General features: G+C 45.8%; 1 pseudogene, besides 1 other annotated feature; it reads left to right on the forward strand.

Moving 5' to 3' along the window:
* Positions 897 to 1397: an enhancer, noted in NCBI's record as "H3K4me1 hESC enhancer chr10:49495838-49496338 (GRCh37/hg19 assembly coordinates)". NCBI's record gives its function as "activates a minimal SCP1, AML or CMV promoter by ChIP-STARR-seq in primed H9 embryonic stem cells {active_cell/tissue: H9 hESC(primed)}" and the evidence as "EXISTENCE:reporter gene assay evidence [ECO:0000049][PMID:30033119]".
* Positions 5813 to 6519, forward strand: RPS6P14 (ribosomal protein S6 pseudogene 14; annotated as a pseudogene).

Consider the following 17514-nt stretch of genomic DNA (forward strand, 5'->3'; position numbering starts at 1 on the left):
CCCCCTGCACCTAGAACAGGGCCTGACTCAGAGCAGATGCTTGATAAATGCATGCTGATTGGATGGTAGAATATTTGTGCCTTTACAGAGGAGAGGTGTCAGAGGGAGCAGGACCAGAAATAATGTGCTGTAACTCAGGCCCACTAAGTGTCAAGGTTTTTGCATGCAGTACATGAATCCAAACACACATACACACACACACACACACACACACACACACACACACACACACACACACACACACTGGGAAGCAGGGAGTATTATCCTGATTTTACAGATTAAGAAATTGAGGTACAGGGAAGTCAAATAATTTTCCCAAGGACCCATAGCTGTAAAAGATGGTAAAGTTAGGATTTGAACCCCAAACAGTCTGTTTCTTCCCCTAGAAGAACCAATGCTAGTGAAAGCCTTGGAGAGGTAGAGGGTAGTTCTTTCTTTGAAGTGAGAGGGAGGGAGAAAGTGTGGAAAATGTTCAGGTCCAAGGGGAGAATGTGGACAATCTCATGTCAGATGGCCCCAGTCTTTTCAGTAAGTCACCCTCAGAGTCACCTGCTGATGAGTAGGATGAAGCTCAGACAGAAGTGGAAATGGATTGGCATGAACACGGGGAGGACGGAGATGGTGACCAGGCGGAGAGGAACAGTGGAGATGGTAAGCAGCCAGTGAGCCCCACAGCTGGGGCTGTGCAGAGGATCAGAGAATCAGGAAGACCCAGGGAGGTGGGGACAGGGGTGACTGGGACCTGGAATGAGGGAGGTACAAATGCCAGAGGCTGGCTCAGTGCCTTGTATCTGTTCTGTTGGTGGGGGAGGGCAAGGATTTTTCAAGAGTTAAGTCTGAGCAGACCCGCTCCCAGGTTTCAAATCTGGGGCAGATGGTGCCTGGGTAGTTATTGAAAAAGGCTGAGCAGAAAGGAGGCTTTGTGTACAAAGGAAGGAGGATCCTGCTAAACACCAGTGAAGGGGCTGGACCCCAGCCAGACAGTGCTTGGCAGGACAGGCCTGGGCTGAACTGGATCGTATGTGACCAGAAAGGACAGGGAGTCCAGGGAGCTGGGGAAGAAGACAGAGCCAACTGAGACTGGCAGACCAGCCAGAAACAGCAGGGGCGGGACCTGGGACCTGGGCTTTACTTAACAGCCCCAGGGCTGTAGGGCTACAGTTCAACTTCTGCAGAGCTCGCCTGTCAAGTACAAGGGCAGCTGACAAACGTGTGTGGTTTGAGATGACTTGACCTTGGTTGGTATTTCTACTACCTGCTTAGATAACATCTGGGCACTGTTTTTCTAAGAACTGCAACTGAAAAGGAAAGCACACACTTTACTAAGATTCCCACGGCCAGGTCCGTGGGCCAGGCCTGGAAGCCACAAGGAGGAGGCTGAGGGAGGTTCTCCTGGTGGGAGGAGGACTGCCCACCTCCGGCTCAGACGCTGTGGGTACAGACACCTGCCCCTGCCACGTTGGCTCAGGTGGCTGCCTTTGCAGGTACAATGAGCTTATGAACAGCTCTGGCCCAGGTGGAGGAAGAGACAAATCTGGCGCTCAGAGAAAAAGCAGCAGTGAGTTGGGGCCAGAATCACTGATCCACTGAGACAGGCCGTGGAGACAGAGGCACACATGGAGCCTGCAGGAAGAAGAGCAGGAGGAGTCAGACACAGGGCAAGGTCGCCCAAGGCAAAGCTTGTAGACACTGAGCACCTACGGCCTTTCTTCTCGTGGCAACACATTCCAGTTGCTGACAAAGTTCTAGGAAGAAACGAATGATCTCTCCGGCACCCAGCTGAAAAAGGAAGTGCAAAGTTTGGGAAAGGGGCCCATTCTTGGGTGATTTATCTACCATTGAAGAAGGGGCCTTAAGGAGGGCACATCCTTTGTCCTGGCTCCTTCCACATCACAGGGGGCAGGAGAGCCTCTGGATGTGTCCAGTTGCAAAGCAGCTGAGGCTGGCGATCTTCCCGTGATTTCTCACTCAAGTATTTGCCCTAACCAACAAGATGGCTTTAATCCATAAATGGCCCACAATGGGTTTGTCTCACATGCACTCGGTGCTGCCTGGGCTCCTGTTGGGTCATGAGGTGAGAACACGGTGCCCTGCCCCCTCGCCCTGCTGCAGTGCCACACGCATAGCCACCCTGCCCACCCTCCTTGCTCCTTCCCACCCTCCGCCTGCCCACCTGTCAGAGAAACTCTGCCTCCCCATGTCTCTCGGCTCCTGCGGTGGCCTCCCTTCTCCCTAACTCTTCTGTTACACAAACTGAGGCTGGACCTGAAAGCACACAACAACAATGCCATTTATCCCCATCGTTCAATCAGTCATTCATCTCTCCCACTACTCACGGGACCCTGGGCAAGTGACTTAACCTGTTTGTTAACATGGAATGATTGTGAGAATTAAATGAACAAATACATGGCCATCCATGGCATATTTTACATGTTCAATATGAGTTCATTGTTATCACTATTGATGTTTTCATTATAGTCTATGTTATCACTTATCCAAACATTTACTGAAATCAGCTGTGTGTCAGGTACACTCTACAGAGTATGGGAGGAAGAACGGCCAAGGAGGCCCATGTTTCAGCAGCTCCGCACTGGAATGGTCTGAACACCGCCCCTCTGTCTGTACTTCAATGGGCCACTTCCTGTAAAGAAAAAAATTCTTATCCAATAAAGCATTTCTTTGCAGAAGTCTAGAAATCCTTTGTATTCTCTTGGGTCATGACCTCTCTGTCAATATGATTTCTTCCCCTGGGTTAAAGGACTCTGCCAAACATGGGGAGCAGGCCATAATGAGAGATGGGGTGGTATGCATTGTCTGGGATGCTTTTCTTTGCCTTTGTCAAGTTGCAGAGAAGAAAGGCCTTCCGAGAACAGGGACAAGGCAGTCCCCTATCCCACAATGCAGACATGACGCCGCTGCATCTTCTGGTGACCACACCACCTCGTGGTCACCACTGGAACTCCACCCAACCTCCTAAAATGTGAAATTCAGCCGCAGTCCTTCTGTCAGAGTGACCTTGAGGACTACTTGGTGAGTGATATGGTTTGGATTTGTGTCCCCGCCCAAATCTCATGTCCAGTTGTAATCCCCAATGCTGGAGGAGGGGGCCTGGTGGGAGGTGACTGGATCACCGGGCAGATTTCTCCCTTGCTGTTTGCATGATAGTGAGTGAGCTCTCACGAGATCTAGTTGTTTAAAAATGTGCAGCACCTCCCCCTTTGCCCTTTTCCTCCTGTCCCTGTTATGTAAGACATGCCTGCTTCCCCTTCACCTTCTGCCATGATTGTAAGTTTCCTGAGGCCTCCCCAGCCATGCTTCCTGTACAGCCTGTGTGAGCCAATTAAACCTCTTTTCTTTATAAACTACCCAGTCTCAGGTATTTCTTTACAGCAGTGTGAGGACAGACTACTACAGTGAACAACACTGCCTAATTGAGGCAAACATTCTTAGAAATGAAAAAGGAAAACAACCCACTCCTCGGAAGACAGTATGTAATAGTGGTTCGAGCCAGATTGGAGTTTCACCTCCAGACGAATGAGCTGGGTGGCCTTGGGCACATTACACAGCCTGTCTAAACCAGTTTCCTCATCTGAACTGGAGTCATAATAATGCCTATCTCATAACGTCGATATGAGGACGGCATGAAGTTCCGGATGTGTGGTCTCATACATGGCCAGTTAGTACCTGCCACCCGAGCATCCTCTGTCTCCTCCTGCCCACCCCCTGCCACTGGATTCAGTGTCAGGAGTGCAAAGTCCATTCACACACAAGCCCCGTCTTGCTTGGGTCCATGAAAGCTGATGTTTCCCACACATTTCTGGAACCACCAAATAAAGTCCACACATAGCCGCAAATCAGTCCCAATCATGACTCCCATAGCTGGAGGGCCATACACACTGCACATGTCACATCTGCCTGCCTCTAAAGGGCCACCTGAATGGGGACATGGTGACAGCTTTATGGCAAAAGGTGGCCACACAAATTCCTCCCATCCCTGTACACTGTGCCCTTTGCTGAGAGGTTCTGGACACTGATGCTCTGGCCCTCTCAGGATTATAAGCACTACCTCAGGCTGGAAAGGAGTCCCTCCTTCACTCTGCTGTGCCCAGTCAGGAGAGCACTGCCAAGCCTCACTGGGACCCATTGTGTCACAGAGCAATAGAGGTTCTCCATCCCCACACAATTGCTTTCCTTCCTTGAAGTGGGTTTGAAGTGCTAGCTGCATGACATCTTCAGAGCCAGCATCCCATCAGGCACCTGATCCAGAACCCTGCTAACTCGCTCTGTCTGTTCCTTTTTTTCCTGGCCCCAGTGAATGCCAATTGAGGATAGACTTTGTATCAGTTATCTATCTATTACCAGGAAACAAATGGCTATAAAGTTAGTTGGCTTAACACAACAACCACTTTATTTGTTCATGACCCTGTGGGTCAGCTTAGCTGGGTGGTTTCTCTCGGGTGACTCATGTGGTTCCAGGAATCGTCTGATGGTTTGATGAGGGCCTGAGGGTCCAGGTGGCCTCCCTTACATGTCTGAGAGTTGGTGTCAACTGTCAGTCAAGTCTTTTTATCTCCTTGTGTCTCTCATCTTCCATATGGTGACTGCAGCTTTCCTAGAGGACAGAGGTGGGAGCTGTAAGGCCTCTGGGGGGCCTAGAGTCAGAAGTCACACGGTGCTACTTCTGCTTTCTAACTGGCTAAGGCAAGTCCCATGAACAGCCCAGATTCAAAGGAAATAAAGTCCACCTCTTGATGGGTTGACAGCAAAGTTACATTTCAGAGGAAGCTCACACAGGGATAGAGTGACATTTTGCAGCCATCTTTGCAAGCAGTCTCCCACATAGTGGTGGGGTTTTTTGTTTATTCTACCTCAGTTGGCTCCTCATCCTTCCTGGAAATCAGTGAATGTAAGTTACTACTCCAGGGTGGAGGAGCAGAAGGACTTCAACACCAAATGCATCTGTATGTTTCTTTCCCCCCTCACCTCTTGTCTTTGTCTTACTTCTGCCCCATTTCCCACAAGTGTGTGCTGCTTGGATCCTTTCTTTCCTTCTAACCTTAAAGACAAACATTTCTTTCTTTCTTTCTTTCTTTCTTTTTTTTTAAAGAAGGTTCTTACTCTGTCTCCCAGGCCGGAGCACAGTGGCACAATCATGGTTCACTGCAGCCTCAAGCTCTCAGGCTCAAGCAATCCTCCCACCTCAGCTCCCAAGTAGCTGGGACTACAGGCATGCACCACCATGACAAGCTAATTTTTATTTTTATTTCATGTAGAGATAGGGCCTCACTTTGTTGCCCAGGTTGGGAAAGACAAACATTTCTAAGCCAAAAGCAATGGCTCCATCACTCAGAGAACCTCCCAGGTGCCAAAAATCAGTTCATCTGGGCCAAGGACAAGAAGTAGTCGTAGTGACCATGGGGAAGGCAACAAGGAAACAGATGTGAGAGATAATGAAGAGATGAATCCTGCTGGTGAGAGATGCAGCCTTTTAAAATTATTTAAGACCCCTCATTTGGAAAGCACATTGGAGAGAAGGCAAAAGAAGAATGGAAAGTAGGTAAGACTGAGGTAGAGTGTGAAGATCTAGTCCTCCTTGGGAATTTGATCACGATTGCTTTAAATGTTTACATACATTTTGGGAGAATTGACAGTTTTGCAATACCAACTCTTCCAATTCATGAACATGGTACATCTCTCCCTGTATTTAGGGTCTTCTTTAATATCTTTCAAGCAAGTTTAGTAATTTTATCCTTTTGAATTTAAAGCATGTTAAGGCGATAACATTTTTATTTAAATATTTCTTGGTAACTTTTTTGAGAAGCATGTGGCTACAGATGTGGATGCTGATACTCTCAATGAATAGTGGAAGTGTTATGTGGTCTGAATCAGTGGTGGAGACAACAAACAAGGTTTCCCGTAAAACAGGTGTCCCTATCCATGGTCACGTCTGCCTGCTGTTGAGAAAGAGCATTTCTGTAATAGACCAATAACTAGATAAAGAAAGCACAAATCTGTTTGGGGTTGCATTGTGGATGCCAATCTGCATGTTCTCAAGTTAGTGATTTAAAAAAAAAAAAGAAATAAAGAAAGTAAGAAAAGAAGAAGGGAAGTATATTTCTGGACTGACTAATACAACTGTGCCTCATCACCTGGGGTCCACAGGAGCTAAGAGAATTTACAAATGTTTCAACCTCTCTAAGGAACATGATGTTCTCCTGCACATTGTGAGAAAACTCCTCAATAAAGAAAGTAAGAAACCCAGGACCAAAGCACCCAAGGTTCCCCATTGTGTTACTCCACATGTCTGGCAACTCAAACATCAGCATATTGCTTCAAGGAAAGAGCATGCTAAAATATATATATATGTATATATATACATACATGGAAGAAGCTGTAGAATATGCTAAACTTTTGGCCAAGGAAATGAAGGAGGTCAAAGAAAAACACTAGAAAGAGATTGCCAACAGACCGAGGCTATTTTCTCTGAAAGCTTCTACCTCTGAGTCCAGTCAAAAATAAGATTTTCTAAGAGTAGCAAATAAATAAGATCAGACATCCACAAGAGGGAGAGGGAGGGAAGAAGGCGAGAGAAAGAGAGAGAGAGATTTCAGACACTGCAATTTATCAGACACTGATTATAAAACAATCTTTTTTATTTATTTTTTCAGAGACAGGATCTCACTCTATTGCCCAGGCTGGAGTGCAGTGGCACAATCTCACCTCACCGCAGCCTAAAACTCCCAGGCTTAGATGATCCTCCCACCTCAGCCTCCCAAGTAGCTAGGACCACAGGCGCACACCACCATACCCAGCTAATTTTTGTATTTTTTTGTAGAGACAGAGTTTCACCATGTTGCCCAGGCTGGTCTCAAACTCCTGGGTTCAAGCGATCTGCCCACCTAGGCCTCCCAAAGTTCTGGGATTACAGGTGTGAGCCACCAAGCCCAGCCAAAATGATCTTTTTATTTTATTTAAGTAAATGAAAGACAACTTTGAAAATATCTACAGGGAACAGCAAACTACAACAATTACCTCCCAAATGTGACAGATAAACAAATAAAATGTCTAGAAATTTTAAGAATACAATAATTGAGCAAATTTGCTGAATTTGGGCATGTGAACAGTAACCCTAATGGAGTTGTGTAATATGGTTACCCAAATGGAGTCTGGCATGAAGTTCATGACTTCAGTCCAGCTCCACAGAACACTCTGGCCTTTTGCCAGATCATCTCCTCCAGTCACAATGTTAGGATCCAAGGGCATACTGTAAGTGGTTTTGGGGCAATTCGGGTTCCAAACATTGGTACCAACATCCCCAACCTAGGGGCAAAATCCTTATTCCCTGTGGGAGGCATTGCACACTGCTGCAGGTCTGCTGACTTTATTCCAATATGCTGTTTCTCATCTGTGACCCTATGATCTTAAGGACCCCAGCCAGGGGTCCCACGCTGGACAAGTATGGAAGAAGTGACTGTGACTAGCTGTTGAAGACCAGTTCAGCCCACTAGAGGGAAAATGGAAGCAAATAGCTGGACCAATGTCCCTGAGTCTGCTTTACCAAGATATCTTTCTCACTCTCTGTCCATCTCTTGGCCCTTAACAAGCCTGGGAGAAGACAGAGGTTACCTAGTCCCGAGGCTGAATACTTAGCATGACATTGTCTACCTGGAACCACAATATTAAAAGCATTTAGAGATTTCTGAGCTGTCACAGGACAGAGGGAAGGAGAAAAATAATGATAAGATAACCCAGGGATAAAATTCCAAATATTCTCTGAATCCTGGGGCAAAACTGTTTGTTTTTAACTCTGATAAAAATCACAGTAATTGGCCAGGCGTGGTGGCTCATGCCTGTAATCCCAGCACTTTGGGATGCCAAGGCAGAAAAATCACTTGAGTCAGGAGTTCAAGACCAGCCTGGCCAACATGGTGAAACTCTGTCTCTACTAAAATACAAAAATTAGCCAGGTGTGGTGGCATGCACTGCAGCCTAGGAGCAATAGGCTGTACCATATAGCGTAGGTGTGTAGCAGCTGTATCATCTAGGTTTGTGTAAGCACACTATATGAGTTTCACACAACAATCAAATTTCCTATCGATGTATTTCTCAGAATGTATTCCCATTGTTAAGTGGCGCATGACTAGCTATTAGAAGAAACACAGGCAATCTACACTTTGGGAAGCAGAGAAAAATTATCACCTGCTACTATTTTCCCTCATATTGTTGGTTATTTCAAAACTCTCTGGATATAAAGCTAGTTAGAAGGAAGGGTGATTTCTAGTTTGCCCGGCTTCATTTCCCCCAGGACAGTGGTTCCTGGCCTGAGTTCTCATGGGATAAGGGGAAAGAGTTCCTGGTTCTGTGTGTGTATTAGTTCGTTTTCACACTGCTGATAAAGACATACCCAAGACTGGGCGATTTACAAAAGAGGTTTAATTAACTTACAGTGCCACATCTCTAGCGAGGCCTCACAATCATGGCGGAAGGTGAAAGGCACGTCTCACATGGAGGCCGACAAGAGAAGAGAGCTTGTGCTGGGAAACCCCCCTTTTTAAAACCATCAGATCTTGAGAGATTCATTCACTATCATGAGAACAGCACAGGAAAGACCTGCCCCCATGATTCAATTACCTGGGAATTCAAGATGAGATTTGGGTGGGGACACAGCCAAACCATATCAGTGTGTATGTGTTGTGTGGGTGCATGTGCATGTGCATACAGGTGTGGTATACATGAATGTGCGTGTGTGTGTGTGTGTGTGTGTGTGTGTGTGTGTGTGTGTCTATGTCTAGGGTAGAGGCAGAGGACAGAGACCTGGGTCAGGCACCAGGATTTCAGGGTGAAACCCGATATGTGTTTTTCCTCTTGCTCTGTGTAAATATCTCCATGTTTGAAAATGAACCTCATGGGCCTGGTGCCAGGTATAAACAGCCCTGGACTGGGAGACCTGCTACCATAGAGGTGCTAGAGTAGGGTGTGGGTGAAGCGCAGAAGGTAGCAAAGAAAGCATAGGGGTGCACTATGCATGGGGTCCAAAGGGGGCTTTGTCATTACCCTGGGGACTTGTTGTTCTTGGTTGGATTCCTCAGGAGCCGCATTCAATCCCCAGCCACCAGTCTCCCTCCCTGACCTGATCCTATCCCACCATAGATGAAATGCCAGGAGTCTCATCTTCTTTCTTCATGCTCCATGCCCTCTCAAATCTTCTTACTATCTTCTTTTTCTTATCACTCCCCCAAACCAACTGAAGACCCCTCAGAGGGGTCCTGATGTCAGTAACAAGCAAATGTGGTCATTCTTGGGTCCTGCCTCACAACACTCCAGTTCTAAGTGATGAATATTTACAGGACTGTTCTCAGTATTTCCAAACAGAGTATCTCCACAGGAACCCCCCAAATGTCCCAGGGAGTTTACATCAAGAAAATAAAGATTGGGAACAATGAGGCCTGGGCAAGGCCTCAGTGTCTTATCAAATACCCCCAGAATCCAGGGATCCCAGACCAGAGTGTCCTGCTATACTACATTGGCCCATTTATGAGCTGCTGAACTCTGTACCCCTATCCTCAACCCTGGCCAAGGATAGAGGACTCTAAAGATCACTAAGAACTTTTCCTTGCTTAACTTAATGGTTTTTCTGCACCAGTGCCAGAAGAGAGAGAAAGAGAGACAGTCCAACCTTGGGTATTCCTTTATAACAACACAAACAGACTGAGACAAGCCCTAATAAAATTAAAAGTTAAACTTCCTGATTGATTCCTCCCACCCATCCTTGAGGTAATTCCTTTGTGGCTGAGCACAGATAATTAATCCTATCTGGGGGCATTTTCACTTGACCCTTGCTGAGAGGAAACCCAACCCATCAAAAGTGGTGACCCGGGATTCCACAAAGACGCTTCTCTCCTCTCCTTACCTTAACTGCCTTCTGCTCTGCCTGAAGACACAGATGACTGCTCAAGTACAGGCTCCCATTTCCCAGGGCCCAAGCCCTCCTGCTTCGAGGGACCTGCTATTCCTTTGCCTAGCCTCCCTGCTGGGTTTCCGTATTCCCTGACATTCACAAGGTATTTGGGCACATTTCCATACCATACCACATCACACCATACCATAGAATTATCTTTGGTGAATTCAGTACCCAAGACAGGGCCAGCTGTATAACTTGTAGGACTAAGTGCAAAATGCAGATGGGGTGGGCCTTTGTTCAAAAAGCAAGAAAAAAGTGTCATTAAAGGTACTAAAATATAAAGATTGCTTTTTTAAGGTATCATATTACTTATCAAATGAAATGATGTAATAATAATTCATGACTAACATTATAAACCTATAAATTGCTCCCCAAACCTATTTATGGTATCATAATTTTATATAATACAATAAGCAATAATACTTTATTAAGTATTATTAAGGTGGTATTTTGATTGATCATAATATTTTTCTGGATCACTTTTCCAAAAATATGTTTGTCAGGTCATTAAAATGTATAGCTTTAGCCACTTTAAAAACAATTAATTTTCAATTAATATAATTAAAAGCAATGTCAGTTGCTCTTGGCAAGTGCACAAAGATAATTTTTGGTAATTTTAAATTTTGAGAAGGATCATTCTACAGATGTGATTATTCCTGGAAATATTAAGATTATTTTTTAGATTGTGACAACATTAAATTTATGATAAGTTATTTCAAAATACAAATTTTAGTACATCTAGAACTGATGCTTCTTAAGAAACAATTTTTCTAAAAATATTTAACTTGTCATACAACTTAATTTCACATAAGTTGTATAATTTCAAATGTAAATGTAAACAATGGTATTTTAATGTTTCCTCTGACATTTTCTGTAATTTGTGGAAGTTGTACAGGAAACAAAATGTCTTTATGGTTTGTCTATAATTTAAAATACCCATTTATACATTAATGCTATATCCTTGTATCTTCTATCACAAAAGAAAGTTAATTTTAAAATGTCTTCCTCATTAATAATTGGTTTATCTGAAGCTTCATAGGAAGATAGTATTCTTTTTCATTGAATATGACAATAGTTTATCTTAATTTTTATTTCTAAGCCTGTGGATATTCATTTTGCAATCTTGTAGCAGTTTTCAAAAGCAAATATTCTAAACTCTTTGAAGAGCTCTAATAATTCCTTGATATGCTTTATTGCAATGTCTTTGTTGCATTTTTATTTGGTAATAAGAGTACAGTTTTGTGATAAATGTACAGTTTGTAGCTACCAAAGTTTACTGCCCCAGCATGGAAAGTTTCTGTCCCATAGTTTAGGCCAAAGTGCAGATGCCCTGAAATGGGCTCTGGGTACTGATGAGGAGACATGTCCCACTGGGGTTCCAGTCTAGCCCCTCCTGTCTCTGAGATATGGCCAGTATCTCTTACTGCTGCTGCTGCCTTAGCCAACACCAATCTGGGCCCATGCTCTGGTTCCAATTGTCCCTTCAAAGTCTCACAGTGCCTCAGGCTGCCCTACGCCCACGTGTGTGCTGGACAGTGGGCCTGGGCCCATGCTGCATGCCCTACTGCCTGGCATATCTCCTCTGCCCATGCTTGTGCTCCAGTGTACCATCAGACTGCACTCACAAAACACAAGTCCAAAGATGAAATTATAAGAATTGCAAGATGGCAACAGCAGAGCATTAAACCAGCCATGGACTCCTTGTGAGAGCAGGGTCCCATGCGACTGCACAGGCCAAATTCTCATGAAGCCAGTGCTGCCCAAAGAATTTGCTGCATAGGAAAGGGATTATATAAGTTAGTCATTCAAACCTGGATGCTTTTGAAAGTGCCAGACACACAATTAATAATCACTCTGGGGCAACAGGTATAAACTGGACTCATCCTGGACAACCTGGGGGCATCTGATCCAACTAGGAGTCCAACACAAGAGGCTCATATTCCCTGACTGTGAGTGATCTTCACTTCTGCAATGGACCAGCCGTACACATGTGTGAATATGCATAGGGTACTCCACACGGGAAACCTAAAATATGGTGTCTCAACCAGTTCTTCTCTGTCCATCTCCTTCTTATATGCTCGCATCTGAATTTACCACCATCCTCAGTTCTAAAGAACTGAAAACCTTGCTCCCTGTGTAAATTTTGCCCCAATATATTTGTCCTCTCCTGGCCTCACTGCCCTCCCAGCCTGGGCCCCAGAGTCCTTACTGTGATAATCTCTGGGGCATCTTCAACTGCTTTGATGTCCATCTTTCCGTTTGACATGCCCAGGAAAAAAACCCAGCTCCCAGATACACCCCTCCAAATGCTGTCTCTATTTCTCTACCTCTGTTGACAAGGACTCTAGAGAAAAGTCCACAACTGTGTCACTGAGAATGCACGGCTTTCCATCTCAGCGGAGCACCGAGAACCCTTGAGCTCACCGTTTACCTTGGCACTCGTAAATGTCTTGCCTTAGATAGATGTATAAGCTGCAGGACTGATGTGGTGGGGAGATTTCTGGTGCCTTGGCTAGTTTCCTCAGGGGAATTTTGCTTCCGTGTAGTTTTTTCCCCCATCACTTTTGGTTAAAATCTGTGCCTCAGAGGCCAGCTCTTGATACTTGGTTTTCTTTGGCTTGCCTCTTACAGCCCTTTCCAGTCTCCCTTTGGGGTTGCAGACCTCAGAAACAGTGAAGGAAATTCTGCCCCTTAGGTTCTGATGTCCCACTCTGCTGTGAGGCTAGATGGGGCCAAATATTTGAATCCAGTGTAGTTTGTGTGGTTCTTCCTTCTCTGAGTGCGTGGGTAGGTGCCCTCACAAAGAGTTTCAAATGGGAGGGTCCCCATTACTACTATGGCACACCCTTGTAGTGGACCTTGCTTGATGGCTTGAGGATAGAGAGAATCTCATACCATGGCCCTGCCTTTGGGAAGAGGGTATTTGTGATATCACTGTTGTTCCTGCTGATGCCAAAGAGAAGTCCTGCTCCCTGCTCTGCACAGATTGGCAGTACCAACCACACTTTGGCTTTTCAAGGAAATAGAATACTATAGGGGGCAAGGGAAGTGGTGAGCTGGGGTGTGGGTTTGCGACCTTATCCAGTCTTCATGACTTAGCACTCCCAGAAATAGATTTCTGCCCTATCTACCCTGGATTGCTTATTCCTCAAGCATGGCTGGAGCATTTGGGGAGGAATGCTTATTTATTTATTCATTTAAGACAGGTCTTGCTCTGCCACCCAGGCTGGAGTGCAGTGGCATGATCACGGCTCCCTGCAATTTCAACCTCCTGGGCTCAAGCAATCCTCTCACCTCAGCCTCATGAGTAGCTGGGACTACAGTGTTCACCACCAGGCCTGGCTAATTTTTTTTTTTTTTTTTGTAGAGTTGGAGCCTCACTTTGTGCTTTGTTGCCCAGGCTGGTCTCAAACTCCTGGGCTCAAATGATTTTCCCACCTTGGCCTCCCAAAGTTCTGGGATTACAGGTGTAAGCCACCATGCCCGGCTTCACTTACTTTCCTGTGTAGCTGTCCCTCCTTTAAGAGACCCACACCTTGAAGGGCTATGATACCTCCCTCTGCCTTTTCCCAAGCCCAAAAACCCTACTCACCTCTGCTAGCTTCCCAGACCACGACAAGCCTCAAGCTGGCCAGGCTGACCAGCTATGCCAACCCTCAGCTGAGAGTGAATCCTGTAGGTTTTTGGCAAGAGAAGCAATGCAACCTACCCTCAGAAGTGAAGCTGTCATTGACTGGGAATCTGCTTCAGGAACAGGTTTAAGAAGCCATTGAAAATTCCTTCAAATTGTCTTCTAATCTCCACTTTCCAGAAGCAACAGCACCTTCTCAGGAGCATCAGAGGGCCTCAGGGATCACCTCTGAGTCAGGAACATGAGAATGCCCCAGCAGAGGTCGCTGGCAAGGCTGCGGCAGGGAAACATCACTTGCCCTCTGAGGGGCTCAAAACCCTGCCACCTGCAGAGACTCTTAACTCTCCAGTGATGCCAGAATCTCTTTCTCATTCCCCAATGATGCCACAAAGAGTCTTTTCAAATCTAGCCAAGAATGAGTAGGACTGTTGGCCAAGGTTGGGAATTCACAGGGGTCTCTCTGCCAAAGGGTCATTGGTGGAATGCCTGCCAGTCTAGCATGAGCTCCAGTTTTACATCTGAAGGGTGAGGGTGAAGGCCAGGAGGTAAAGGTGGAGATGGGGTGGAGGGGGCCGGTAATGAAGTGTTGTTTTCTCTCCACAATGGGACCTTGGCACAAGTTCTACAGTGCAGGAGCTATGAAAGGCAAAATTTCACTGGGCTCAAAGAAATTCTTAGCTAATAATTGTAGATGGGGTAGGGTGTTGATGCTAAGAGATCTGGTAAAAAGCTCTCTTCTAAAACATTTATTTATTTAAAACAACAAATATTTTATTTACAGGTTGTATGACTTCAATAATATATTCTTTCTCTCCTATTCAATTTCCTTTATATTTTTTTCACCAGGGGATGAACACTGAATATCTTCAGTTTCTGGGTACTATGGACTGAATTGTGTCTCTGTCTCCTCTAATTTCATATGTTGAAGCCCCAGCTCCCATTGTAATGGCATTAGGAGGTGGGGCCTTTGGGAGGTGATTAGGGTTGGACAAGGTCAGGAGGGTGGGGCCCACATGGTGGAATTACCATCCTCATAAGAAGAGACACCAGAGAGCTCGCTCTCTCTCTCTCTCTCTCTCTCTCTCTCTCTCTCTCTCTCTCTCTCTCTCCCTCCCTCTCCCTCTCACTGTGCCATGTGAGGACACAGCAAGAAGGTGACTGTCTGCAAGCTGAGAAAGGTGACTTCACCAGAACCTGCCCATACTGGCAAACTCCTATCTCAGACTTCCAGCCTTTAGAATTTTGAGAAAATAAATTTCTGTCACTTAAGCCACCTAGTTTATGATATTTTGTGATGGCAGCCCAAGCTAAGGCAGTGGGTGTGGATGGAGAGAGGACAATTTAGCATATGTGTAAGATGTGGGAGGTGGGCAAAACATTGGAAAAAAAGAACCAATAATGAAAGTAAGAATAAAGAATGAAAGCACAAAAGCTAATGGAGAGCAAGATGTTCTGTCCAGTTGCTCTGAGGTTTTAAAAAAACAGAAAATACGCCAAATTTCTTAGGGCACTGGCTTTCATTTTTGGCTACAAATTAAAATTACCTGAGGGGATGTGAAAATAGCTACAGAAGCCTGGGCTCCACCCCAGACCACTGGAGAAGGAGCACCAGACATGGAGCCTGGGTGTGGGTAGTGTTTTGTTTTGTTTTGTTTTCCTTGAGACGGAGTCTTGCTCTGTCACCCAGGCTGGAGTGCAGTGGTGTGATCTTGGCTCACTGCAACCTCCACCTCCCAGGTTCAAGTGATTCTCCTGCCTCAGCCTCTTGAGTAGCTGAGATTACAGGCTTGCGCCACCACGACCAGCTAATTTTTGTATTTTTAATAGCGATGGGGCTTCACCATGTTTGTCAGGCTGGTCTTGAACTCCTGACCTTGTGATCCACCTGCCTCGGCCTCCCGAAGTGCTAGGATTACAGCTGTGAGCCACCACGTTCAGCCGGGTGTGGGCAGTTTTAAAGCCCCTCCCCACCCAGGTGATTAAAATGAGCAGGGTGACTTGTGAGTCAGTGTCCTGCTGCTGGGATTCTCAAACTCAAATGGGCATCAGAAATGCCTTGGGGGGGCTCATTAAAACACAGATTGCTGGGCTTCTTCCTCAAGGTTTCTCACTCAGCCGGTCTAAGGTGAGTATGAGAATTTGCATTTTCGACAAGTTCTCAGCTGATGCTGGTCTGGGGAACCACAATTTGAAAACCATCGTCTTAGAGGAATAAATGCTGACCTTTTTTTTTTCCCATGGAAATATGCATGTGTACTCAATCTATAAACTTGACTAGCTTAGTTGGTTCTCTCTTGCATGTACCTGTAAGCAAAAACAGGGTACCACTTGTAACTTCAAATCAGAGTTCTGCCCATTCTGTCTCCACTTCATTTTGTTCAAGTTGCGACTGAGGAGCTCGGGCCATTTTTGGCCCTTTCCTACCCCTGAGGAGCCACAGTTCTTGCAGCTGGAGGATGGATTTACAATACGAACACTCATCTTTCCTCTACTCATGCATCCAGGGTCTGTCTTGCTTTATCGGGAGCCAGCAGGCTCCACCTTGAAAGATTCTCAAAGAACATCCCTGAGTCAGGGACTGACTGACCAAGGTGCTGAACCTCTCCCTCCTGTTGGGGGAAAAGTAGACTTGACTGGAGACATGGGTGGGAGACGAGACTGGGAGGCTTGAAAGCAAGGCTAACAGAGAAGGATGGTGGTGGAGGTGGAGTCAGGGGAGAGGGAGTGTCCTTGGAGATGCCCTTCTGCAGGCTTTAGTTGGTAAGTACCTTCCCACCAACCCAACTCCCCACCCCTGGGGTGAGGTCAGGGAATTAGGAAGTAAGTTGAAGTCTCAGCTTTCAGTTTCTGCACCCTGAACAGCTTGGTGATATTCACCTGACTACCTTAGCCAAAGAAACATCTTCAGTGCAATCCATTGTGTGTGGTCTGGGATGACAAGGGAAGAGATACTCTGGTGGAGTGCAACCTCTTCTTGAACATCCCTCAGGGCTCCAGCAGAGGCTGAGTTTGAAAGGCCTACAGTTCCTCTTCTCTCCTTTCCCCATCCCAGCCTCAGAGGTATCCAAAGACCAGGTGTCCCCAAGACAGCTCCCCTGGGACAAGAGACAAGAAACCTGAATTCACTATATTTTCCTCTTTTTCTGAGTCAGCCCCTTAATAGGTTAACAAGGAACCCTAACAGGTTGACAAGAAAGAATTGCATGAAAAGGAAGAAGAAGGCCCAACACTGCATCTGGGTTACAGAAAAGCATTTTGAATTTGCAGAATATCAGAGATAATTACATTCCATCAGAAATAGCAAAATGCTTTCTGAAATCAATCATACACACACACAAACACACAAACGCACATATGTAAATATGTGGAATGTTCTTTCTAGTTGTAGATAATCAGAAGCTGACCATGGTAGACTGATACTAAGTCAGAAGCTCACTCTGTGGAGTGAGACAGAGGCGGTTATTAACAATAGCATCACAGAACTGGGCGTGAAACTCTGGAGCTCTGCTCCCAGCAACTCCCCTCACTTCACAACAGCTCTAAGGGTTGTATTGTTTTTTGTTACCTCCAGGCCTTTAATTTGTCTGGTGAAGAGTAGGTGGTACCTCTGTCTGTGCACTCAATCACACCCCGTTCTCTCTGGAAACACACGTCTTCCTTCTCTTTTGTGTGTATTCAACCTCTCCCTCTCAACAGTCTTCCCATCAGATGTAAAATATGCTTGTGTCCTACTTCACTGCCCGACTCATCCATATTCACCACCTTTATTTTCTCACCTCCCATTCATTTCCCAGCCCACTCTAATTCACTTCTGGTTCTATTACTCCAGGATTCCAAGCCTCCTCTTATGTTTAATATTATTGATCAGCCCTTTCTTCTTGAACACCTCTCTCCTGGTTATCCTTCTATCTCCCTGGCAGCT

The sequence above is a fragment of the Homo sapiens genome, chromosome 10 (assembly GCF_000001405.40).
Source record: "Homo sapiens chromosome 10, GRCh38.p14 Primary Assembly".
NCBI classification, from domain to species: domain Eukaryota; kingdom Metazoa; phylum Chordata; class Mammalia; order Primates; family Hominidae; genus Homo; species Homo sapiens.